The sequence below is a fragment of the Homo sapiens genome, chromosome 10, assembly GCF_000001405.40.
Source record: "Homo sapiens chromosome 10, GRCh38.p14 Primary Assembly".
NCBI classification, from domain to species: Eukaryota; Metazoa; Chordata; class Mammalia; order Primates; family Hominidae; genus Homo; species Homo sapiens.
In genome coordinates this window covers 99,828,816-99,854,825 of record NC_000010.11, presented here as the reverse complement: position 1 = coordinate 99,854,825, position 26,010 = coordinate 99,828,816, and the positions used below count along the sequence as shown (strand labels likewise).

Genomic DNA, 26,010 nt, shown 5'->3' with positions numbered 1-26,010 from the left:
ACAGTGAAGATATGGTGGAATTTGGGAATGTATAGGTTTTAGGTAGTTATCTAAAATTGTCCCTGAAATCGGTAAGTGAAATAAAGCTTGTGAAAGGGTTATTAATTAGGCCACAATGGAAAGTAATCTTTATTTAGTTTATATTAGGTAGCTTTTGTTTTTGTTTTTTTTTTTTGAGATGGAGTCTTGCTCTGTTGCTCAGGCTGGAGTGCAATGGCGTGATCCCGGCTCACTACAACCTCCGCCTCCCGGGTTCAAGTGATTTTCCTGCCTCAGCCTCCAGAGTAGCTGTGATTACAGGCATGTGCCACCATGCTTGGCTAATTTTTGTATTTTTAGTAGAGACGGGGTTTCATCATGTTGGCCAGGCTGGTCTCGAACTCCTGACCTCAGGTGATCCACCCACCTCAGCCTCCCAAAGTGCTGGGATTACAGGTGTGAGCCACAGCACCCGCCCTAGATAGCTTTTAAAAAATTTTTGGCACAGTGTCAGACATTTACTGGAAGCTAAATAAATAAGTGATGGCTGATAATCTTCAAAGTTCTCTGGTGATAACTATATCGACATCAGCCTGGACCATTTTGTTTGAGAAACAAATTGAGAAAATATCAGGCTTCTCCTTTAGTTTCACTTTTACTGTTGGTGCTTTACCTAGCTTGCATTTCTCTGGCTTCTGCAGTCAGCGTAAATAGTTCCTTTGTTTTCCAAAGTTCCTCCTGCCCCTCTAAATGCTCTATATCTAAAAACTCATTTAAGAAGCAAGTTGGAAAGTACGCGTGTATGGAATGTGCTTTCAAAATAAACACTAAAAAATAAATAAATAAATTTTAAAAACACCACTAAAAAAAAGGAAAAAGCAGTTTTTTGAAATTCTAATGATTAGAAAGAATAGATGGTAAAAACAGTAGTTAGCTACCTAGCAGTGAAATAGTTGAGAAAAAGAGATAAGGGAAGTGATGATGATGATGATGATGCTGATGATGATGACGATGATATTGGATTAAAAGAGCAATACAGACTGGAACAATCAGGAAAAAAGAACAAGGATCAATAGCAGAAATAAAGGACATGACTTAGCTCTTATAGAGCTTTACAGGTATTGTATTGTATTAATCTTAAAATGCTAATTTTTTTCCACAAATAGGATGCATTTTACCAACAATGCATACCAAAGTTTAATTGGCAGTATCCTTTCTTCGTGGTATAGAAAATAACAGGTATTTTACAGTTGATGGCATCTTAGATTAATATACACTAATCTGCAATTTACAGGAGCTACATTTCATGTACATAAGCAGGTATAGATCTGAAAAGCTAGCTGTAAAAAATAGCCAATGATTATAGAATATTCACAATGTACTAGATCTGGTTTGCAGAATTAAGGAGGGGATTCTCCATGAATAGCGCCCCCCCAGCCAACACTTCAATATCTATACAACTTTGTTGATCTCCATCCATGCTGTGATTCAAAATCGAATTCACAGGGCTATGTGTAGGAGGCACACAAGTTTATCATACAAATGAGACAATTTTTGTGCGTGTGTGAAAGGGGGAGCTATTATTGTTTTGGGAAAACAGATGTAACCCATAACTATTCAGGGCAAACCAGAGGTATGCTTACACTAGCTATATGCCCTTCATTTCAGAAGTTCAATGTTAAGCACCTCACTAAACAGACCGTGAAATGCTGAATAAATCAAAATCTTTATCATAACATCACTGAAAGGGAGGTAAGGAATATGAAGAACCCAAAAGAACCTGACACAAAGGCCCTAGGAGGTGAGGAAGGCCCAAAACTTAGGCTGGCTTCTGAAATCTCCTGCCCAGGAGATCTTAAACTCTCACTTTGTTGATAATGTAGGAGGTCAAGGCAAGAGATAAAGCCAAGGTCTGCCACAGTGCAGACTAAAACCCTCTGATGAACCTGTGTCATGAAAGGGTTATACCTGCAATGTACAGGTAAAGAGGCCTAGGTCCTGCCATGCAGAATGCAGGAGTCAACAAGAACAACAACAAAACCCCATGCCTATCTCCAACCTGTCACTTTCCCTGGAGAATTTGTAAATCACAAGCTGGCTCTTGTACAGGATTGTGGTCTGAAGTTGCACTGTGGTTTGAAACCCCTTAGTGAAGAATTTCATTCAAAGAGGTTCTGGGTAATGCCCCAGGCAGCAGGCTAAAGCATTCCCAATTCCCTTAGGAAGAATTCACGGTCAACTTAGGCCTCAAAGAATGTCCACAGATAAAGTTTTAAGGAGAACGAGCTTATAATAAAAATTCACAAGACATACAAGGAAATAAAATACCATGAGTAAAAACCAACAGAAACAACAGATAAACAAAGAATCCAGACATTGGAATTATCAGACACAATATTTAAAAAACAAGTGGAAATGCAAATGCCCCAGAAACATGAAAATATATTCATCCCCAATAGATACTAGGGAAATGCAAATGAAATTCTCATTGATACATCAATTCATATTCATCAGATTGACAGCAATGTTTTCAGTTGGCATTACCAGTTTGGCATCAGCTAGTTTGTGCATGTAAACATGTTCATACCCTCCATTCCTAGGTTATACCCTAGAGAAACTCTTACATATGTGCCAGGAGATGTAGACCAGAATGTCCATAGTAGTACTGCTTATAATTTTTAAAAACCTGAGAATAATGCTAATGATCCCCAATATTAAAACTGATACATTGTGCTGTATTCATACAATGCCAGACTACAGAGCAGTGAAAAAAAATAATGCACCTATTTGCATCACCATGGATGAATCTCAGATATAATATTGAACAAAAGAATCAAGTCATAGAAGATGTATGCAGTATGAGTCAGTCCATTTACATAAGTAAAAAAGGGTATATGTTGTTTAAAGATACATACAAAGGTGATAAAACAGAAATGAAAGGCAAAGGAATAATTATCGTGAAATTCAGGACAGTGGTTGTCCCTGGGAGGGGTGGGTAGCAAGGAAGTACGATCGAGGTAGACAATCGAGGGGTTTCTCAAGTACCTGGTGACATTTATTTTCTTAACCTGGGTAGTAGGTTCATGGGTGTTCACTTATCCTTTTTTAAAACGTACATTTTATACACACTTTTGTATGTATTCTGTATTTTATAAAAAATAAAATTAAATAAGAAATTATTCTTATAGTCCTTTTCTAACCCATGGGGCCTTCTGCTAGAATTTTGTGCTGTTCACATTCTCAATGCCAGCTTCCTTAGCCATAAAGTAAAAGGGTCCAGGGATTTGTAGCAGTTCTTCAGGGCTGCCGCACTCTATAATCTTCCCGTTGTCTAGGACCATTACCCTGAAACAAGGAAGAAAGAAATAAAAGTCTTAGAAAGCAGCATCTCAAGTCTAGGCATTTATAAGAATAACCAGGACTAAGTTGTGGTATAGTCAGACAAGGCTACAAAGCAGTGAAAATCAATGAGCCACAGCTACACACATCAACATGGATGAATTCTGCAAATAATATTGAACAAAAGAATCAAGTAATAGAAGAATACAGGCAGTATGAGTCCATTTACATGAGTTTTTAAAAGAAGTGCACATTGTTTAAGGATAGATTGGTTTACAAAGGGTGCCTATCATCTCCAAACAGCTTTCTAAGATTACTGACTTTTGATTGTAATATGACACAGCTGGAAGGAATAGAAAGCTTCTGGCTGTTTTACAGAGCAGCAGCTGAGGCTCAGGACAGTTAGGAAGGTCTATGGTCAACATCTGCCTCTCACGGCTTGAGCTTCCACCTCCCCATACCCAGTTAATTGTTACAACACACAGTTTCCTATTTTGCCCTCAAGATATGAATAGTTCCCTTAACCTTGTTCGTTTTCATTTGCGTGATGTAAAATTTTGGCCAGATTACTTGACATCTCTAAGTCTCAGTTTCTTCATCAGTAATGTGGTGGTGGTTAAACCTTCTGCCATCAGGTGTTTCCCGGCTGACACTGTTACTGTTGAGCAAGGGTTAAGCCATCCGTGTCAAGCCCTGTCCCCCTACACTCACTTGTCACTGTCCATGATGGTGTGCAGCCTGTGGGCGATGGTGATCACTGTGCAGTGGGCGAACTCGTTTTGGATGGTCGTCTGAATGAGGTTGTCTGTCTCTAGATCCACCGCAGCAGTGGCCTCATCCAGGACCAGGATCTTGGATTTCCGAAGCAGAGCCCTGCCCAGGCACAGCAGCTGCCTCTGGCCTATGCTGCAGCCAATAGAAGCAACCATGTGTTAGCTCCTAAAGACCAAGGAAAGACGCAGGGCAGGGGGACCATTTTCATGTTCCAGATCAGACTTTCAAAACCCCCCCTCCAAAATTCCCCTGGAATGTTTGGGCCTCTTCAACTAGCTGTACCTTGCTGCTGTGAGCATCGTTTTTCAAACTTTCCCAATTGAAGACCCACCCCAAGTACTTAATTAAAAAGTCATATTTCTGGGCCCTTGCTTTGCTCAATCAGAGCGGGCAGGAGCCTAGGAAGGTGCCTTTTTACTAAGCACCCCAGGCCATTTTTATGCTTAAACAAGTTTGGATAACAATGGCCCAGGAACCATGCTTTGTATTTGGTTGCCGTGACATCAACATTTCCAAAACAACATGAGTGTCACCAAGTTTACGTTAGCAGCATTTGACCTGAAGCCATTAATATAGGGTGGAGCAACACTAGAATGCCCCAGTGGCATTTCTTTGTGGCCTTAGCAAATCAATTTATTATTTTAATGTGTAATTCTAGCCTCAAGGCTAATTATTTGTTCAAGGCCTTCTGCTTTGATTAGAGATGAAGCTGTCTAATGAACGTGATGTCTTGGTGTGAGATGCAATGTATGTGGAATTCAAATATGCTTCTAAAATGCAAATAGCTTTAATTTGCTAAAAGCCTGTAATGAAGGCTGGACCTCTTACCTAACATAAAGAAGCTTTGGGAAATGATGTGAAGGAAATATTCAGGAATTTGCTAATTGCTCTTTCCTGCTGTGGCCATTAGGGAACATATTAAACAGGGGGTGGCCAAAGTGCTGTAATTCTCTGTAAGAAAATTTCTGCAGGAGATGAGAAGTCACCCAAGATGAACTTCCAGTTTTCCCCTGTAATGTAAGATCAGAGACACTGAAAAACTATTTACTTAGCTTGTACCAAACTCCTGCCTGGCCCAAAGTGTAACGTAGACTTTGGACTTTAGAGTAACAGACTGTTGCTGAGGCGCCACTTTGTCTTTCAGCTGCTCTCTCCAAGCTGAACTTACCCATCATTCAACAGAGAAATGTAAGTTTTAGTCCCCCAGGCCAGGTTTGAAACTCAGGTCTGAAATCAAGGCATTGGTAATACCATTTAAGCATCTCTCAGCTTGGACAGGAGAAAGATGGCATGATTTTTGTTTTTACAAACCAGAAATGTCAAGGCCTCCCATTGTACCCTACCATAGCATCCCAAATGTACCCTCTGTAGCACAGACTGTACTGGCATTTACTGACAGAGGTCTGTCTTCATTATGCTGTAAATGCTAGGAAGTCAGGGTTGTGTCTCTGTTTGCCTCTGTATTTTCAGTACCTGGCACACAGTAGGTGTACATATATTTTCGAGACGGAGTTTCGCTCTTGTCTCCCAGGCTGGAGTGCAATGGCGCAATCTCAGCTCACCACAACCTCCGCCACCCGGGTTCAAGCGATTCTCCTGCCTCAGCCTCCTGAGGGATTACTGCTGGGATTACAGGCCTGTGCCACCATGCCCCACTAATTTTGTATGTTTAGTAGAGATGGGGTGTCTCCACGTTGGTCAGGCTGGTCTCGAGCTCCCGACCTCAGGTGATCCGGCTGCCTCGGCCTCCCAAAGTGCTGGGATTACAGGCATGAGCCACTGCGCCCGGCCGGTGTTATTACATTTTTGCTGACTGAATGTTTGAATGATCTTTTACACTGGCCTAAAGACCTACTTGAGTCCTGCTAGTTGCTAGATCTGTTGTGGAGGGAAAGTAAACTGACGATGTTCTCTACCAGGGCTTGTTCCCTGGGGCTACACACTAAAATCACCTGGGTCCCCGATTCAGTTGGTCTGGGCTACAGTTTAGGCGTTGGGAGCTTTAAAGCTTCCTGGGTGATTTTAGCTTGCAGCCTAGTTAATCACAACACTCTAGGCAGTGCTTCTCAAGTGTAATGTGCACACAAATCACCTGGGAATCTTGCTAAAGTGCGGATTCTGATGAGTAGGTCTACGCCCTGAGATTCTGCACATGTAACAAGCTCCCAGGTGAAGCCAGAGTGGCTGGCCCCTGAATCAGTTACTGAGCCCTCCCTTCCTTCCTGAGCTTCAACTTGCCAACGGCCTATTCCCTGCCTACCACCACTGAGGCCCCTGGGGCAGGAGCAAGACCTGTCCATGAGCAGTGGGCTTTGGCTGAGGGCAGAACTTCAGTGTGTGGAAGGAAAAACAAAAATGTTACAGGAAAAATGCCAGATCAACTTATTAATGGACAGGCAAACATACACTGAAGGCCAGAAGTGAACTGTCAATTATATAAAAATGTTTTGGAAAGGTTAAAAATAACTGTGAAAGCCAAGAGAGTCTTTTGTTGATTTCAGGTGTTTCAACAGTGCCTACGGATTTTACAGATGTCACGTTCCCTGTCATCCGCATGCTCTTTAGATCAGTGGTTCTTTAACTGCGATGCCCTTAACAGCCTCGTGGGGATCCTTTAAAACTCCCTATGTCCAGTCTAGCCTCAAACAATTAAATCAGACTCTAGGATTGGACCAGGCAGCCAGACTATTTTCATCCTGATTGTGCACAGCTGGGAGCCTCTGCTTTCTGTGGGATGTGTAAGCTCACATTGTGTAATGTCATATGAGGAGTACACTTAATAACAAAGGTTTTTTGTTTGTTTGTTTGTTTGTTTTGAGATGGAGTCTTGCTCTGTCTCCCAGGCTGGAGTGCAGTGGTGTGATCTCAGCTCACTACAACCTCCGCCTCCCGGGTTCAAGCAATTCTCTGCCTCAGCCTCCTGAGTAGCTGAGATTACAGGCGCCTGCCACCACACCCAGTTAATTTTTTGTATTTTTAGTGAGACGGGGTTTCACCATCTTGGCCAGGCTGGTCTTGAACTCCTGACCTCGTGATCCACCGGCCTCAGCCTCCCAAAGTGCTGGGATTACAGGCGTGAGCCACTGCACCCGGCCAATAACAAAGGTTTTCAAGAGTTGATTTTTTTTTTTTAGACGGAGTCTTGCTCTGTTGCCCAGGCTGGAGTGCAGTGGTGCAATCTCGGCTCACTGCAACCTCCACCTCCTGGGTTTAAGCGATTCTCCTGCCTCAGCCTCCTGAGTAGCTTGGGACTACAGGTGCCCACAACCATGCTAGGCTACTTTTTGTATTTTTAGTAGAGACAGGGTTTCACCATGTTGACCAGGCTGGTCACGAACTCCTGACCTCAGGTGATCTACCTGCCTCAGCCTCCCAGAGTGCTGGGATCACAGGCGTGAGCCACTGTGCTCGACCAGTTTTCAAGAGTTTTAAAGCACTTTCACATCTATTTTATCTTGTGAACTTTACAACAGGTTCATTTTACACTTTAGGAATCAGACCTGGATGAAAATTCTATGCCAGGCATCACCTAACACGAGGAACACGAGGAGTGGCCCCCTCACATCCTCTCATTGCCTGCAGGGGTAGCAGGCTATGGAACATTACCTCAGGTTGCCACCAGCCTCTGTCACTTCGTGGGATAACCCAAGTTGCAGGCTGGCCACAAAAGACTTGAGGTGAGCCAGCTCCAAGGCCTTCCAAATCTCCTCATCTGAGTAGTTGTTGAAAGGGTCGAGATTCATCCTCAGGCTTCCAGAGAACAGGATGGGGTCCTGCAAGTGAAAGGACAAGGGGGCTGTTGGGGCTCATGCCAGAAAAGGACCTCGGAGTTCCTCAGGACTGGGAGATGGTGGATAGGACTGGCCTGAGATGGATTCCTGAGGCAGGAAGCTGGTTTGTGGTTGAGCTTCCGCAAGGTTTTCCCTCCTAAGGCTCGGAGTGGCTACCAGCCAGGGGCTAGGCACAGGGTTAGAAGTCCTCGGTTTATTTTTTGTTTTTGAGGCTTTCACTCTGTTGCCCAGACTGGAGTGCAGTGGCACAAACACCGCTCACTGCAGCCTTGACATCCTTAGCTCAAGTGATGCTTCCACCTCAGCCTCCCGAGTAGCTGGGACCAGAGGCACGCACCACGATGCCTGGCTGATTTTTTAAATTTTTTGTAGAGATGGGTTCTTGCCATGTTGCCTAGGCTGATCTTGAACTCCTGGGCTCCAGTGATTCACCTGCCTCGGCCTCCCAAACCCATAATCGTGATTTCAAGGTAGAGGGATCAGAGGAGGGTAGAGGAAAGAATAGTACAGCTGCATGAGAAGAAGGTGTCACGCTTTTGAAGAGGCTGGAGAAAAGACTATCGAACTGAGCAAACACCAGACAGACCAAAACTACCCCCAGAGGAACTGGGCTGCAGTGGGCGGAGGAGGAAAGGTTCTCCTGAGGAGCCGCTGCGGGGAACGGAGAGGCCTCGCGGCAGTCCTTATCTGGCAGGATCCAGAGAGGAAGCCGAAGGGAAATCTTTCTTGCTGATGCACGAAGCGTTCCGCTTGCTGGCAGAAACCTGCAGCAAATTCCCTCCTCTATCTTTTAACCATAGCAAATGGGGAGTATAAAGCTTAATGGCTTCAAGCTTCAGCGGCAAAACTGCTAATGCTGATTGCAAAAGTCTTGCAAACCGTGATGGGCTATAGCAACGCTAAAGAATCGTCTGCTGTACTTGACTTCTGTTGTGTTGCTGCCACCTAGTGGTCAGATACAGGCAGCCACAAATGCATATTACCAAACATTTCAAAGTTCTGGAAATGACGTGTCCATCCTAGGGAACTAGCTCAAGTATCCCGAGTAGACCGTGGAATTGACAGTGCTGACTGAACAGACATCAAGAAGAAGCTGCATATGTTTCCTGTAAAACAAGCTGCTCCCCACGGCATGTGCCCGAGTAAGTTCTAGAGCTCACCTGGGGGATGATGGTCAGCTTCTCTCGGAGGTCGTGGAGCCCAATGGAAGCAATATCTACTCCATCAATGATAATCTGACCACCGGCAGCCTCTAAGATTCTGAAGAGGCAGTTTGTGAGGGATGACTTTCCAGCTCCTGTCCTGCCCACCACACCAATCTGCGAATATAGTTCCCTTACACATTAGTTCCACAAATAATTCTTGGGGAAAAGTTATTTAGCCTGGGCATTCACAGTCACAGGAGGTAAGAGGCAGTGACTGGCTACTCCATCTCTAAGATATTAAACTGATTTTGGTTTTGGTGAGGAAAAAAGTACCCAGATGTCAGAAAAAGATGCCAAAAATCATTGTTTGCTGAGAACTATAGTCACTGTTTGAAATGGACTCTCTTGGCAGCTGTTGTTATAATTATTATTGGAAATTATAGATAAAAACAAAATCCTTGTTTAGGCCAGGCGTGGTGGCTCATGCCTATAATCCCAGCACTTCGGGAGGCCAAGGCAGGCAGATCACCTGAGTTCAGGAGTTCAAGACCAGCCTGGTCAATATGGCAAAACCCCGTCTCTACTAAAAATACAAAAAAAATTAGCCAGACATGGTGGCGTGCACCTGTAGTCCCAGCTACTTGGGAGTCTGAGTCAGAAAAATCACTTGAACCCAGGAAGCAGAGGTTGCAGTGAGCCAAGATTGTGCCACTGCACTCCAGCCTGGGTGATAGAGTGAGACTCCATCTGAAAATAAATAAATAAATAAATAAAAATAAAGAAAAAAGAAAAATGCTTGTTTAGAAGTGAAGAAGGGAAAGATTAGGTCTGCCACCAGCTGAGAGCCAGACTCTGATCTGGACCTCAGCGTCCTTGCTCATCAGACCCCAAGTCCTCGGAGAACAACAGCACCTAAGGAGGGTGCCTGACTTTGAAGACTGGGAGGAGAACTGGGCCATTCTTCCTTCAGGGACAACCTCCACACTGCTATTCTCAACAGTTCCTTCACCAGGCCTGGCCGCCCCCTTGTTTCCTTCCTGACTTCCTCTCTGCATACTGTGGACCTTATAGGAAAGGGGCCCTGGTCAGCTGGCTAGGAGGCAGGGAGGAGCTGAGCAGAAGGCCCCGACAGCTGCGGTAAGTCTGTGTGATCCCTGGCTGCTATCCTTCCCTCTGATACTGTGTCCCCACACCTCCCCAGGGCAGAGGAAGTGCCCTGACCCTTTCCCTCCATCCAAATGATGAAGGCTTAGGGCCCAGCTGCTCTCCACTCTGTCCAATTGTTGTTTGATCACAAGGCCTCCCATCCAGGCCTTCCTTCACTCCACCTACCTTCTCCATGCTACCGATGTCACAAGTGATCCCTCTGAGGACCAGATCCAGCTCAGGTCGGTACCGCACTTGGTAGTTGTTAAACTGGATCTTGCCTTTGCTGGGCCAATCTGGCGGAGGCCTCTTATCAGTCACCCAGGGTGCCTGGCAAGGAGACAAGATGAGAAGTAAGTTTTATAAGGTGGCAACTCAGCCGAACAGTCCACCCAGGACTCGTGTCATAGAACAGGAGAAGGGTAGCAGTGTCCCAGCTACCTAATGGCCTCTGCATTTAATAGGCTGAACTAGACTTGCACTTTTGGAAAGTTCCTACCTTATTCAGTTAAAGAAAAATACACCATGAGCTTGTGCTGTAGATCTCCTCGGTATGTTGCAAGACCCGACATCCCCTAAACCATTTCCTATTCTAAGTTTGAAGAAATTAGGTCCTTTGAGTTAGAGGAAAGGAAACTTTAGGGACCCATTATGGGCCCATGTAAAATATGGAGAAATTCTAAAGATGCACTCTCGAAGGAGTTGCATGTTGTTTTTGCCTTGTTCCTGGATTTTTCCAGTTCCTCCTTACCTCATTTTCCACTTTTGTGTACTCAGTTATTCGCTCAACAGCCACAATGTTGGTCTCTATTTCTGATGTCATCCTCACCAGCCAGTTCAGGGTTTGTGTGATCTACAGAAAAACCAGAAGACTGAAAATCATCATAGGCACAGAAACCAACTCAACCACTCAAACCACAAGGACAATCCAGTGCCGACTTTGTACCCAGCACTGTGCTGGACTCTACAAGGGAGTAAGGAAAAGTGTAAGAAAGACAATCCTTGCCTCCTTGGGGAAGGAATTAAGAGCAGTGCATTGAATGGCTGCAGACTAATTAGGTGCTCACGCGAAGGGCAATGTGAGTGTCTAGTGGTTTGGGACTAAAGCTGGAATTTGAGAGTCTGGCAATGGGTGGAGTGGGAGCAGAGCTCAGGCCTCCTGCCTGGATGCCTAGTGTTCTTTGTGAATCAGGGAAAGGCATGATCCAGGCCAGGGAATCTGTAGATTACTCAGATGCAAACTTCTTTCAGAAAAAGACTCAGGAGTTTGCATATATGCACAGAGAGTTCTTGTTGAGCAAATGGTGGTTAAAGAAAGGGAGCCACAGAAAGCAGAGGACGGAATCATGGGGACTCAGAGTATCCACTTTGTGTAGATTGAAGCATATGTAATTGCCGGTGTTTGAGTCATTTTGTTTTGGTTCAATCTAATAGTTTCCTGACTATTTGCCTTGTCTGTCCTGGGCTAAAAAGCCTAGAAATGGGGGTATGAAAGGGCAGTGACACAAGGAACTAAGTGACTCTAGTGAATAACAAAGTCCTTTTAGGTGCCCTGGCAGGAACACATTGGGCCTTATTAACTTCTTTTTTTTTTTTTTTGAGATGGAATCTTGCTCTGTTGCCCAGGCTGGAGTGCAATGGCACGATCTTGGCTCACTACAACCTCTGCCTCCTGGGTTCAAGTGATTCTCCTGCCTCAGCCTCCCCAGTAGCTGGGATTACAGACACTCATCACCATGCCTGGCTAATTTTTTTTGTATTTTTAGTAGAGATGGGGTTTCACCATGTTGGCCAGGCTGGTCTCAAACTCCTGACCTCAGGTGATCCACCCACTTTGGCCTCCCAAAGTGCTGGGATTACAGGTGTCAGCCACTGTGCTCCACAGGCCTTATTAACTTCTAATGAAGACAGCACTATTATATAATGCCCACATGTAACTATGCAAATCTCTTTGAACTAAAAAAATTAGTTCAAAAAGATGGTCAAATGACTCATTTATAACAAATATTGATTGAATAATTACGGTAGTGCCAGCCACTGTCTTAGGTGCTAGAAAAGAATCATGCCTGCCATGTATCCTCTAGTCATGCTGGGGATGCTGCAGTGAGACACATTCTATAGTTTTATCAGACTCTATGTTCTTTATTAGAATTACCTCCAATTATTCTACGATCTAAGAAAAATAAACACAGGAGGAATTATTTGTTCAAAAAGCCTTTCTGATTACTGCTACGTTCTAGAGAAGAAAGTTATTTATTCTCTCACTAGAACCAAGCAAAGAGGCAGACAGGGAACAATTAGATTGAAACATATGAAATTGCCTTCTTAAGCCCTAAGGTCAATATTTATGTCCAGTTTTCTAGATGGCATTCATGTCTACTTAGGAAGAGTAAGGAATACGTCCATGGGTAAAAGATGGAGCCAGGGTTTGAACCTCAGTCTTCTTTAGTCCCTCTGGGTTTAAGAAGGAATCAAGAGCACAGACTCCACAGTATACATCAGGCTTAATTTAAGAATAAGCACACTAACGAAACCAAACTCCCAACCTTCAAACTCACATTGAGTGCATTGGACAGAACAAAGCCAACAGTGTCCCCACTTAGGGTATCTCTATAAATAACCATCATCAAGGCTGAAAAGAAGACAGTCAGGTTCCCAACCAGCTCCAGGCGAATTGCAAGCCACCTGTGGGGCAACAGAACCAGAGAGTGCGTGTCACTGATCACGTCCTCATCTTAACCAGCAACCTTGGCGTTCACAGAACATTCTCAGAGGGTTTGACTTGATCGGGCCGCACTCTTAGGCAATGCCTCAATTTGACTTAGAAACACCATGTATTCCTAAAAGCCTATTGATATATTTTTTAAGAAAATAAATTGCATTTTAAAGATCCTAGAGGTCTTTGCTGAACTAAGGGAATCCTACAGTGCAATGTCTACCAAACTCGCCAAATCATAAGAATCACCTAGGGCAACTGTTAATATACAATGTTACAAATTCATGTGGAAAATTCCTGGACCCTTTCCTTTAAGATTCTGATTTCAGGGGGCCTAGGATGGGATTCAAGAATCTGCATTTTTTTTTGTTTTTGTTTTATGAGACAAGGTCTTGCTCTGTCACCAAGGCTAGAGTGCAGTGGCGTGATCATGGCTCACTGCAGCCTCGACCTCCCGGGCTCAAGCCATCCTCCTACCTCAACCTCCCAAGTAGCTGGAACTATAGGTGCACACCACTACACCCAGCTAATTTTTTTGTATTTTTTGTAGAGCCAGGATTTCATCATGTTGCCCAAGCTGGTCTTGAACTCCTGGGCTCACGTGTTCTGCTTGCCTCAGTCTCCCAAAGTGCTGGAATTACAGGCATGAGCCATTGCTCCTGGCCAAAAATCTGCATTTTAAATGAACGCTCCAAATGACTTCTTTTGATCAGGCTGGGGAAGCAATGCCATAGTGAATCCATGTGTAAGATTAAAAAGTAAGCACCATAGGAAGGGTCAACGTGCCCTGTTTGATTTCAGTATTTGTAAAAGGGGAAGAAGAAGCTGAGGGTGAAAGGAAGTTAGGTGCAAGTTGGCCACAGGGAGATATACTGGGGTTTCATAGAGAACTGAAGAATACATGTGTATAGACACAGTTTATAAGAATGGACTTTTACTGTGACAGGCCTAGGGGGTCTGGAGGGCTCTGGTTCACACCTCAGGATGCCTGGAGCCCCTAGGTTTTCTGATTTCCTATCTCCATCCTCACTGGCAGGAAAGCTTCTGGAACTAGGAGAGGGTTGCTTAAGAGGATGAGGGGTCAGGACCAGAGATGGAGGAGGAAAAGAAAGCTCACAGGTGGCTGGGCGCAGTGGCTCACACCTATAATCCCAGCGCTTTGGGAGGCTGAGGCGGGCGGATCATGAGGTCAAGAGATTGAGATGATCCTGGCCAACATGGTGAAACCCCTTCTCTACTAAAAACAAACAAACAAAAATAGCTGGGCGTGGTGGTGCACACCTGTAGTCCCAGCTACTCAGGAGGCTGAGGCTGAGGCAGGAAAATCGCTTCAACCTGGGAGGCAGAGGTTGCAGTGAGCCGAGATTGCACCACTGCACTCCACCCAGACAACAGAGCAAGACTCCGTCTCAAAAAATAAAATAAAATAAAAGGAAAAGAAAAAAGAAATTTCAGGCAGAGGAGGTCGCGGCGCCGGAGGCCCCAGAAGGGTCGAAGGCGCCGCGGGCTGGGGTCGGTGGCTTAGGGAGCCCGTCCGGCCATGGTGGCCGCGGCTGGTGGTTGGCGCGGCTGCGCTGCGGCCCGGGGCAGTGCGGAGCCAGGACAGTCGCGGCGCTGACGCCCGCGGGCCCCAGCTGCAGATATGAAGCGGAGCCGCTGCCGCGACCGACCGCAGCCGCCGCCGCCCGACCGCCGGGAGGATGGAGTTCAGCGGGCAGCGGAGCTGTCTCAGTCTTTGCCGCCGCGCCGGCGAGCGCCGCCCGGGAGGCAGCGGCTGGAGGAGCGGACGGGCCCCGCGGGGCCCGAGGGCAAGGAGCAGCCGCCTGCCTTGGCCTCCCAAAGTGCCGAGATTGCAGCCTCTGCCCGGCTGCCACCCCGTCTGGGAAGTGAGGAGTGTCTCTGCCTGGCCGCCCATCGTCTGGGATGTGAGGAGCCCCTCTGCCTGGCTGCCCAGTCTGGAAAGTGAGGAGCGTCTCCGCCCGGCCGCCATCCCATCTAGGAAGTGAGGAGCGCCTCTTCCCAGCCGCCATCACATCTAGGAAGTGAGGAGCGTCTCTGCCCGGCCGCCCATCGTCTGAGATGTGGGGAGCGCCTCTGCCCCTCCGCCCCATCTGGGATGTGAGGAGCGCCTCTGCCCGGCCGAGACCCCGTCTGGGAGGTGAGGAGCGTCTCTGCCCGGCCGCCCCGTCTGAGAAGTGAGGAGACCCTCTGCCTGGCAACCACCCCGTCTGAGAAGTGAGGAGCCCCTCCGCCCGGCAGCTGCCCCGTCTGAGAAGTAAGGAGCCTCTCCGCCCGGCAGCCACCCCATCTGGGAAGTGAGGAGCGTCTCCGCCCGGCAGCCACCCCGTCCGGGAGGGAGGTGGGGGGGGGTCAGCCCCCCGCCCGGCCAGCCGCCCCATCCGGGAGGGAGGTGGGGGGTCAGCCCCCCGCCCGGCCAGCCGCCCCATCCGGGAGGGAGGTGGGGGGTCAGCCCCCCCGCCCGGCCAGCCACCCCGTCCGGGAGGGAGGTGGGGGGGTCAGCCCCCCGCCCGGCCAGCCGCCCCGTCCGGGAGGGAGGTGGGGGGGGGTCAGCCCCCCCGCCCAGCCAGCCGCCCTGTCCGGGAGGTGAGGGGCGCCTCTGCCCGGCCGCCCCTACTGGGAAGTGAGGAGCCCCTCTGCCCGGCCAGCCGCCCCGTCCGGGAGGGAGGTGGGGGGGTCGGCCCCCCGCCCGGCCAGCCGGCCCGTCCGGGAGGGAGGTGGGGGGGTTGGCCCCCCGCCCGGCCAGCCGCCCCGTCCGGGAGGGAGGTGGGGGGGTCGGCCCCCCGCCCGGCCAGCCGCCCCGTCCGGGAGGGAGGTGGGGGGGGGGTCTGCCCCCCTGCCCGGCCAGCCGCCCCGTCCGGGAGGTGAGGGGCGCCTCTGCCCGGCCGCCCCTACTGGGAAGTGAGGAGCCCCTCTGCCCGGCCAGCCGCCCCGTCCGGGAGGGAGGTGAGGGGGTCGGCCCCCCGCCCGGCCAGCCGCCCCGTCCGGGAGGTGAGGGGCGCCTCTGCCCGGCCGCCCCTACTGGGAAGTGAGGAGCCCCTCTGCCCGGCCAGCCGCCCCGTCCGGGAGGGAGGTGGGGGGGTCAGCCCCCCGCCCGGCCAGCCGCCCCGTCCGGGAGGGAGGTGGGGGGGGTCAGCCCCCCCGCCCAGCCAGCCGCCCTGTCCGGGAGGGAGGTGGGGGGTCAGCCCCCCCGCCCGGCCAGCCGTGCCATCCGGGAGGGAGGTGGGGGGGTCAGCCCCCCGCCCGGCCAGCCGCCCCGTCCGGGAGGTGAGGGGCGCCTCTGCCCGGCCGCCCCTACTGGGAAGTGAGGAGCCCCTCAGCCCGGCCAGCCACCCCGTCCGGGAGGGAGATGGGGGGCTCAGCCCTCCGCCCGGCCAGCCGCCCCGTCTGGGAGGTGAGGGGCGCCTCTGCCCGGCCGCCCCTACTGGGAAGTGAGGAGCCCCTCTGCCCGGCCAGCCGCCCCGTCCGGGAGGGAGGTGGGGGGGTCGGCCCCCCGCCCGGCCAGCCGCCCCGTCCGGGAGGGAGGTGGGGGGGTCGGCCCCCCGCCCGGCCAGCCGCCCCGTCCGGGAGGGAGGTGGGGGGGGTCGGCCCCCCTGCCCGGCCAGCCGCCCCGTCCGGGAGGTGAGGGGCGCCTCTGCCTGGCCGCCCCTACTGGGAAGTGAGGAGCCCCTCTGCCCGGCCAGCCGCCCCGTCCGGGAGGGAGGTGGGGGGGTCAGCCCCCCGCCCGGCCAGCCGCCCCGTCCGGGAGGGAGGTTGGGGGGTCAGCCCCCCGCCCGGCCAGCCGCCCCGTCCGGGAGGGAGGTGGGGGGGGTCAGCCCCCCTGCCCGGCCAGCCGCCCCGTCCGGGAGGTGAGGGGCGCCTCTGCCCGGCCGCCCCTACTGGGAAGTGAGGAGCCCCTCTGCCCGGCCACCACCCCGTCTGGGAGGTGTGCCCAACAGCTCATTGAGAACGGGCCAGGATGACAATGGCGGCATTGTGGAATAGAAAGGCGGGAAAGGTGGGGAAAAGATTGAGAAATCGGATGGTTGCCGTGTCTGTGTAGAAAGAAGTAGACATGGGAGACTTTTCATTTTGTTCTGCACTAAGAAAAATTCCTCTGCCTTGGGATCCTGTTGATCTGTGACCTTACCCCCAACCCTGTGCTCTCTGAAACATGTGCTGTGTCCACTCAGGGTTAAATGGATTAAGGGCAGTGCAAGATGTGCTTTGTTAAACAGATGCTTGAAGGCAGCATGCTCGTTAAGAGTCATCACCAATCCCTAATCTCAAGTAATCAGGGACACAAACACTGCGGAAGGCCGCGGGGTCCTCTGCCTAGGAAAACCAGAGACCTTTGTTCACTTGTTTATCTGCTGACCTTCCCTCCACTATTGTCCCATGACCCTGCCAAATCCCCCTCTGTGAGAAACACCCAAGAATTATCAATAAAAAAATAAATTTAAAAAAAAAAAAAAAAAGAAAAAAAAGAATGGACTTTCCCAGGCCAGCTGTGGTGGCTCACGACTGTAATCCCAGCACTGTGGCAGGCCAAGGTGGGCAGATCACCTGAGATCAGGAGTTCAAGACCAGCCTGACCAACACGGAGAAACCCCGTCTCTACTAAAAATAAAAAAAATTAGCTGGGCGTGGTGGTGCATGCCTGTAATCCCAGCTACTTGGGAGGCTGAGGCAGGAGAATTGCTTGAACCCAGGAGGCAGAGGTTGTTGTGAGCTGAGATTGCACCATTGCACTCCAGCCTGGGCAACAAGAGGGAAACTCCATCAAAAAAAAAAAAAAAAAGGACTTTCTCAAAGAAAATGTATTTAAATGTCTGCACCAATAATTCCAGCATGTGTATGAATAAATATGATATGTCCTTTACAGTGAAGGTCTAATAAGATTTACTTATATGCCTTTTCCTTCTTAGAAAGTCTCTAAGAAATAAAATATCTTTACAATCAAACTCCTGACCTGTCCACATTCCAAATAATGCTGAGCATCTTTAGCGCCTCAAGACACTTTGGAAGCCACTCAAGAATTTTTCTTCCTGAAAAAGATCTTCCTCTTTCCAGGACATACTGCTTGCCAGGGCTTAAGGATACTGGAGAATAATGCTCACCCTGTTCACAAGACGGAAGCTTCCCTTTCTGTCATCAATGGTCTTACCTAAAAATTCCCAACTCTCCTCTCTCCAACCTCCACTGCCTTCACTACCCAGAAAGAGTGTCATGACTATGGAGAATCTCACATCCGTTCTCAGAAAAGTAAACAGAGGATGTTCAGTTCACCCAGCACTTATTTGGTACTGGGTTACAAAATGCTCACAAATGTCATTTGACTTCCACCATGAGACAGGTGGAACCCTGTGAGATAGGGTGTGTTCTGGCCATTACAAAAACAAAGAAATGGAGATTCTCCTTAGAGAAGTCAAGGCAATTCACCCAGCTTGGTAAACGGCAGAGCTGTCATGGGGACCCAGTCTCTGACTCCAAAGCTCATGCTTTCTTCTCTCCACTTACATAGCATGACAGTGTGTGTGGCCAGAGTGAATTTCACACCACTAGCCATGCCTGCCCTCCCACCGCTAATATCAAACATATAGAACCCCAAAGTACACACATGGGTAAATACCCAGGGGAAGCCTCACCTGTTGGAGGTGATCCAGGAAAAGACACATTTCTGGTTGGTGTCAATCCTCACCTCATTGTGTTTCAGAAATCGCTGCTGGTGCTCAAAGGCACGGATAACTGGCAAACCTGATACGGTCTCGCTGAAGTGAGAGTAGATTGGGGACCTGGTGACAGAGTCCAGACGCCTCAGCTGGCGGGAGGTAGACACATAAAACATCTGGACACAAAAAGTAAAGAATCAGCCAGTCCCGCAGTCATGAGGCATCCACCATCTTCCTCCTTTCTGGCCACAACCCAGCATTCTTCCCCTTGATGGGCACAGCTTACGTCTGAACAAGACAAAAGCCTGCAGTGCCATGTCTGGGAGCAGAATGATGAGAGGCTCCGAGGAGGAGACCAATGAGAAGACTGGGGTTGGTGGGGAACAGAGTGGGGTGAACGTGAGGAGAGCACACTGCAGCCTCAGAGCTTTGAGTCTCCAAACCTCCTAAGGAGTTCCGTCAGCCTAACCCATATCCCCCAGATCTACGGCTATCATCCATGTGACAGTTTCTGTACTCATTAGAGAAAAGGTCCCCAAAAGGATTTTGTAAAGGCAGTGGGGCCCGTGGGGTGTGTAAAGTGGGGATGGGCAGGAAATGGCCAGAAAAAGGCATGCCTAGGTTTGGGTAAAAAGGGAAGAATCTGTTCAATTAAGTGACCAAAACTGTGCCTCGGTGGTGTGTGAAGGTACAGAGAATTCTGGAGGTATGCAGAGTGCTGAGGGGGTAAGAACTGGAACAGGGTAGAATCCAATGCAGGGAAGAACCCTGTGGCCTGAGGGCAAGGGGGAGTGGAATGGGTCCGTGCTGCTACTAGATTCTGTGAGGATTTGTTGAAACCTGGGAAGAGTGGGGCGTTGGAGAGACGGGATGCAAAATGTTATACATGGACATACAGATGTTCCCTCCAATAACCCTGCTTCTTGTTTGTTGGCTTGTTATTAATAGTTAAAAGGCCGCTATGGTGACAATGTGCCTGAGGAACTGTACACGGACATGGGGGCGAGCCGCCAATCGCAGGCCACAAGGCCACGAGCCCCTGATCAGTGTCTTCAGAATTGTTTCCCCAGGCAAACAATTCACCACAAAAGCAGCTGGTGGGACCAGAGTTCCTCCACAGCCTCCCCTTCCCTCATCCATTTTATTGTGGGAATAGGGTTCCTTCCACTCGTTCCAGTTTCCCTGTTTTGCTTTCAAGCTGCACATTCCCTCGAAGAATACACTGGAATTGAGCCTAAACCACCCACAGACACCCCAGTGAAACTAGAACTTTGCCGAAGTAAAAAGAAAGACCCAGCTGCTGCTGAGAGACATCTCCAAGCAGCTATGCCTGTCCAAAGTCAACCAAGGAAGCACCATAGCATGGCTCTTCTGGAACCGACCTAATCGTCATGGGGGTTCTTATGGAGCTGCAAGACTGTGTCCAGAGCCAATCTCAAAGTAGTCTTGGATCCAAACGTAAATCTGTCCGACCTAAGCTTCCAGGGAGTGAAGGGTGGGCAGCAGTTAGGGTGACATTTGCCATAAATGGTGCACCCATTGATGCTCTCACTTCAGCTTCAGACAGTGGCCTGTGGGCTCCTGGGTATGTCAACATATGACTAAATGGCAAAGCTGCTGAGGGGAGGAGTGAGTGACTAGCAATGAATCAGAGAGAAGATTCTCAGGAAAGAGGCTGGGCTTTTATAGATAGAGAGGAAGGAAGGATGACTTAGCCATTTCCAAACCTACCTGAACAGATACATAAATAATGCCAAGAGGAATGACGATGATGGTGAAGACAGGAGTGGCCATGCAGATCATGACAAGGGTGCTGATTATCCCCAGGAAGCATGTAATCCAGCTGCGCAAGGACTGAGGCAGGGTGTCATCCACTGTGGAAATATCCTAGGAAAACGATTAGGAGAGATACACCATCACTGAGGTCTTCCTAAGATAGTTTACATCTTCCTAGTTCTAGCAAGGAATCTGTTGGATTCTGTGTGTTCCCAGTACTCCTTCATGTAATCATTTCATTGTGTTCATTTGCAATAGGCTGCATTGCTTGCCCCAATAACCAATTTCATTTCCATAATTTCTTCATTTAGGCCTGGCGTGGTGGTCACACCTGTAATCCCAGCACTTTGCAAGGCCGAGGCGGGTGGATCACCTGAGATCGGGAGTTCAAGACCAGCCTGACCAACATGGTGAAATCCCATCTCTACTAAAAATACTCAGGAAGTTGCTTCCTCTGCTAAGCATAGAGGACCAAGGGGAAGGGAGCTGGGGTTGAATGTGAGCCTGCCTGGACAGTGTTCTAACCAAGGAACCCAGCGGGAACAGATGTGTCTTACTGCCATGTTGCCTTCGTGTCATGTGAAATAAATGAACAAATAAGAAAAATGAATGAATGGATGGATGGTTTGGAGAACACTCAAGAAGCTTGGTTTATATTTTGGGTTGCCCTTGCCTAAATTTGTGGGGATTATATTGATTCTATGATTGGTAATATGTGAGTACCAAAGTGAGTTTAAGTTATCTCTGGAATTTCTCAAACTGTATCAGGGATAATGGTCTTCCAGGAAAGCTCTGAATCATGGATGACTCCTGAGTCTAACCTACCTTTCCCAAAGTCCTATCAGAATGCAAATAACTATACCCACAGTTGGCAGAGAAAAGAAATCCCTACCAGTTATCAGTTCTATGCAGATTACTTTTGATCCTTACCTGGCACAGAGTCTCCATCTTTCCTTCCTCCACTCCATCTCCTCTTAACTCAGCCATTGATCCCAGAGGCCCCTTGATCAAACTCCCCTTAATAGGTCTGAGCCACCTCCCCAACGAAACATACTATATAATTAATGACAGTTTCCTTTCTCATGCAAAAGCAGTCTTCAAACTATGACTGTTGCCTAAGTAACTCACAGAAAACCTCTGTGTTCTCTTTCCCAGAAGATTATATATATTACAACATGGGGAAAACTGTGATCTTTACAAAATTACTATGAGAAATTTCTCACCCAAAATTGAGTGTTCTTTTAGGTTCTAGTAAAGAGCAGAAAGGCCATTGAAGTTGTCTCTAGTGACATCATGCCCACTGTTTCTGCCCCAGAGGAAGATGACACAGGGGGACCAGTTAATGGCCCACTTTTGAAGCAGTTACTGTGTCCCCAGAACCTGGCTGTGGACTGTGAGCTATACTTTCTATGTCTGCCCCAAGACCAACAAACAAGAGTCCAGAGCTGCTCCATAAGCACAGGGCTAAAAACTGTGCTGGTGATAGTTACTTATCATTCAGAATTGCCTGATCTCTGCCTCTGTTCCTGAATTCCCATCTCAGATACACTAAAAAATCAGTGAGTTGGGTCTGGCCCATGGAAGAGAGACATCTATGATCTTCACATTCATTGAGTGCCCCAGTGTCTAGTACAGTAGTTGGCTCATAGAAAGTGCTCAATAACGGTTGTTGAATGAATGAATGAGTGAATGCCAAGGGGTCCAGGATCTGTGGTAGATGGAAACAATATTTGAGAACTTTTTAAAATCACTGATGGCTCTATTCCATAGTCCAGACCAAATTTACTCATTCTTAAAGCATTCAAGATAGAAGTTTCAGGAATGGAGGCAGAGGCCAAGCAAAGGGTTATCCTACTATCTCTTGTATTTCCTGTCCCAGGCTGTGACAGTGCTTTTATTTATGTTCCTTCCTCTGCAGAATAATCCTTCTCACCCTGCTCTACTGCCATCCCCCAACCCTTGCCATCTCCCTGGCTTGCTTCTATGACTTAAGTTTCACCTTTTCTGACATTTCCCACCTTTATCACGCAGGCTGGGCTAGTGCCTTTTTTTCCTTTGTACTCCCAGACCACCTTTCTACACACTGCTGTTACTGGTTTTACTATATTCTATTATAATCCTTCACTTCTTTGGTTGTCTTCTTCACTAGATGCTGAGCTACTTGAAGGGTCAGAGATGTTCATCCCTCAATCTCCAGGATTCTTGGGAGCTCACAGCAGGTACTCAAGAAACACTTGCATGTTGAGTGACAAAAGAACTGGAACTGAACAGTGTTGTCTAGGGGGACATAATAATTCCTCCCTATCAGAAAGATCCTCAGTATATAAACACACCACCTGACAGTTCTTGAGATACTTACGCCGGCAAACCTGTTCACAATCCGGCCTGTGGGTGTTGTGTCAAAAAATCTCATAGGTGCTCGAAGGATATTGTTCAGCAGTTGCTTGTGCAAGATATTTGATGCATGGACGAAACCAAAGGCACTCCAGAAATGTGCTATGAACACAAATATACCTAGAGATGGAAGCAGTTTTGTCAGCACCATGCACAGGAATCCCTGAAGACTTGTGCCCAGGACATAATGGCAAATGCATTCCTGAGTCCAGGAAAAGTACAGGGTCCAGACAGATTCTGTAAGATGTCATAGCCATCAGACATACCTTGGGCTAATCCCAGAGCTCCGTAGACTCCAACTCTCATGTCCCTCTGAGATGCTGGATAGTCGGTGCTATTGAAGATTTTAGAGTCACTGGTCCAAGCACTGAGCCAGAGGTTGGATCCAATAAAAGCCACAGAATTCATCACAAACGCAAGGATGATGAAGAATATCGAAAACAATCCTATTGCTTGTAGGTACTCCAGGTAGATGGAGAACTTCACCTGCAAAGTCCCCACCTCAATATTAGTAGAACTCCCTAATGGCTTTTGATAAGGAATCACCTAGAATGCCAACCACAAGGAGAAGTGGAGTCCCCTGGGAGCATGGGTAGCAGGTAGCAAAATTTGGTAGTCTGTGGTCACCATTTCTGCACTGTGCCAGGAAGGATAATAGAACAATGCTGAAATACAATGCAGGGTAAATAATCATCAAAGCTAAAGGCATTTAAGAGGAGAAGATATAAAAACAGATTGGGACAAGCCAGACATGATAGCATGCCCCTGTAGTCCCAGCTACTCAGAAGGCTGGTGTGGGAGGATCTCTTGAGCCCTGAGGTTTTAGTCCAGCCTGGGCAACATAGTGAGACCCTGTATCTAAAATAAACACACAAACAAAAAATCAGAGTGGAACAGATGATGGGGTTCTACTGCCGACCTTGAAATTTGTGGTTAAATTTCATTAATTTGAATTATGTGCTCTAGGTCTGAGTTTTCCTGTTCCTCCACACATCAGAATGGAATCAAACACTCATGAAGTGTAGGATGAGGACATTCACAGGAAACATAGCATTCTTTATGGAAATATGACTTGGTAGAAAGCCCACAGCCTCTGCTAACAGGTTAATAATGAGTCTGAAGATTTGCAAAGGACAGAGGACATATTGCTCCTGTAAGTATGCGTTCAATTTTCACTGAACGTTAAAAATTTTGGGTTCTAAACCTTATAACACCTCAAATGCTACTTTTCTGTGTGGTGTTCACCTTTCCAGTTTCTATGAATTCCTTCTTAATTAGTTTTTGTCCTTTCACTAGTTCTTCGTCTTCCTTCAGGCTATTCACATTCCGAGTTTTCAAGGAGTTTCTCAGGGACTTCAGATGCCTGCCATTGGACCTAGAACTGAGAGAGGGAAGCTTCCCTGAGCATGCAGGCAATTCCCAAGGGTCTTCTTGCAAGCAGATGTCACAGTCACTCAGCTGGCATCAAAGCGCATTTCAGGGCAGATGACCAGGGGAAACTGACACAACCCCGATCTTTCCCCATCCCCACAACAAAGAAACAAAGGAAGAGCTTGGAGTGTCCATGGTGTTAACCCTCACAGGAAAAGCCCAGGAAGAAAAAGAAAAAGATCAAGTGGAAATATAGAGCTGACGAGGGCTGCCAGCTGAATAGATAGCCAACCTGCGGCTAAGTGTTCGACGAAAGCTGTTCTCTCTTCTCATGGTTATGGAGGCTGCATCTTCGGGGATCTCTTCCACACTGGATATCAGCCCATAGTCATCGTCTTCTTCTTCACTGCCATCATGGACTAGGGAGACACAGTAGAGGTTAGGGAAAGAGCTGCATAGATCCCTGTCAGTCCTATGAACAAGGAGAGAGAAGCCTCCTCTGATCTTGCTGGTTTCAGCAAGGGATCCCAGATGTACATACAGCATGGAATACTTTACTCCATAAATACTCCATACATAGTTATTAGTACATCTTGTTATTAAGAAATATCAGGATAAAGGAGAGATGAATTAATATTCCACTGGAAGAGAAAATGGTCAAAATGGAGAAGAAAATTCCTAGAAATGCCCAGGTTCCTTTGGAGGAGGAAAGAGCTTTTAAGGATTATGGTAGACAAATAGAAGAGTCACATTCTCAGAATTGACTAAAGAAGTGATTGTAAATTGAAAATGCTCATCTTGGCCAGGCGTGGTGGCTCACACCTGTAATCCCAGCCCTTTGGGAGGCCAAGGTGGGAGGATCACTTCAGCCCAGGAGTTTGAGACCACCTTGGGCAACATAGGCAAACTCTATGTCTACAAAAATTTAAAAATTAGCAGGGTGTGATGGTGCATGCCTGTGGTCCCAGCTACTTGGGAGGCTGAGGTGAGAGGATCACTTGAACACAGGAGGTTGAAGGTGAGCCATGATTGTGCCAATGTACTCCAGCCTGGGCAACAGAGTGAGACTCTCTCAAAACAGAAAAGAAAATGCTCATCTTGAAATTCAAATAATTTAACAAACTTATATTAATTTAAATCACTTAAAAGACATACCCGGAAAATAAAATAAAATAAAATATAAGACACAGTGTGGGCATCAGTGGGGATGGTAGAATAGGAACCTCCAGATATCTACTCCTCCATAAAAGCAATTAGAATAATGATTAAAAATGGTCAAAGTCAACTTTTTCAGAGCTCTGAAATTAACCAAAGGCTTGCAACAATCCCAGGAGCATTTGTGTTTTTGAAGAGCTGAAACTTAGTAAGAACAGTAAGTTTTGTGGCAGTTTAACTTACCCTATTTCTGTCCCCCCTCTCCTTGGCTGCTATAACCTAGAAAACTAACAGCCATACAATCATAGCAGCCATGAAAACCAGCAGCCTAGCAGCCACTGGAGGGGGCAGAGTGGGTTCAGAATGCTCCCAAAAACCCCATCCCTGGAGAACTGACATTATCTCACCTATCTGGAATTCTCTGAAAACCCCCATTTATAGGGCCTATTTGACCTAACACTGAGCTAGCTCAAAAAACCAGCAGCAATTATTTAACATCACAGCAGCTGCCTGAGGTGGTGATAACACTTGGGGCAAATAAGAAGCTGACCAAAAACTTAAAAGGAAAAGCTGGGGAATAAGATGCTCACAGGGTCTCTGATCTCTCTGATATATTCCCAGCAATCTAGAATGCCACCTACACATGCAGAGCTGTGCACATGTCCAGGAAAGATGGAAGAGGGCTCTAATCTTTCACTTCCGGCTGACTATGTGGCTCTGTATAAGCAGGAAGTGAAGGCTAAGGCAGAGATGTA

The 26,010-nt window shown here is 47.9% G+C and overlaps 1 protein-coding gene across 6 annotated transcripts in view, besides 4 other annotated features; it reads right to left on the bottom strand.

Moving 5' to 3' along the window:
* The window catches only part of ABCC2 (ATP binding cassette subfamily C member 2), a 69,955-nt gene continuing 46,176 nt past the window's right edge, over positions 2,232–26,010 (bottom strand). For 2 of the 6 annotated variants that reach the window (NM_000392.5, XM_006717630.4), the window contains 13 exons: positions 24,393–24,519; positions 23,975–24,110; positions 22,996–23,215; positions 22,695–22,849; positions 20,291–20,446; positions 18,536–18,735; positions 12,733–12,859; positions 10,926–11,027; positions 10,361–10,504; positions 9,044–9,202; positions 7,699–7,865; positions 4,030–4,224; positions 2,232–3,324 (listed from right to left, as the gene is read on the bottom strand). In NM_000392.5, the coding sequence (NP_000383.2) occupies positions 3,195–3,324; positions 4,030–4,224; positions 7,699–7,865; positions 9,044–9,202; positions 10,361–10,504; positions 10,926–11,027; positions 12,733–12,859; positions 18,536–18,735; positions 20,291–20,446; positions 22,695–22,849; positions 22,996–23,215; positions 23,975–24,110; positions 24,393–24,519 (2,018 nt within the window). In that variant the 3' untranslated portion in view covers positions 2,232–3,194. Of the gene's footprint in view, positions 3,325–4,029; positions 4,225–7,698; positions 7,866–9,043; positions 9,203–10,360; positions 10,505–10,925; positions 11,028–12,732; positions 12,860–18,535; positions 18,736–20,290; positions 20,447–22,694; positions 22,850–22,995; positions 23,216–23,974; positions 24,111–24,392; positions 24,520–26,010 lie in introns of those variants that run through there. The other 4 variants (XR_945604.4, XM_047424598.1, XM_011539291.4 and 1 more) reach the window with 4 other exon arrangements.
* Positions 4,280–4,960: an enhancer, noted in NCBI's record as "OCT4-NANOG-H3K27ac-H3K4me1 hESC enhancer chr10:101609623-101610303 (GRCh37/hg19 assembly coordinates)". NCBI's record gives its function as "activates a minimal SCP1, AML or CMV promoter by ChIP-STARR-seq in naive H9 embryonic stem cells {active_cell/tissue: H9 hESC(naive)}" and the evidence as "EXISTENCE:reporter gene assay evidence [ECO:0000049][PMID:30033119]".
* Positions 4,440–4,734: a silencer, noted in NCBI's record as "tiled region #8166; HepG2 Repressive non-DNase unmatched - State 14:Gen5'". NCBI's record gives its function as "represses a minimal TATA promoter and a strong SV40 promoter by Sharpr-MPRA in HepG2 cells {active_cell/tissue: HepG2}" and the evidence as "EXISTENCE:reporter gene assay evidence [ECO:0000049][PMID:27701403]".
* Positions 19,660–20,859: an enhancer, noted in NCBI's record as "CDK7 strongly-dependent group 2 enhancer chr10:101593724-101594923 (GRCh37/hg19 assembly coordinates)". NCBI's record gives its function as "activates an origin of replication core promoter dependent on BRD2, BRD4, P300/CBP, MED14 and CDK7 cofactors, with strong dependence on CDK7, by STARR-seq in HCT116 cells {active_cell/tissue: HCT116}" and the evidence as "EXISTENCE:reporter gene assay evidence [ECO:0000049][PMID:35650434]".
* Positions 23,636–24,835: an enhancer, noted in NCBI's record as "BRD4-independent group 4 enhancer chr10:101589748-101590947 (GRCh37/hg19 assembly coordinates)". NCBI's record gives its function as "activates an origin of replication core promoter dependent on BRD2, P300/CBP, MED14 and CDK7 cofactors, and independent of BRD4, by STARR-seq in HCT116 cells {active_cell/tissue: HCT116}" and the evidence as "EXISTENCE:reporter gene assay evidence [ECO:0000049][PMID:35650434]".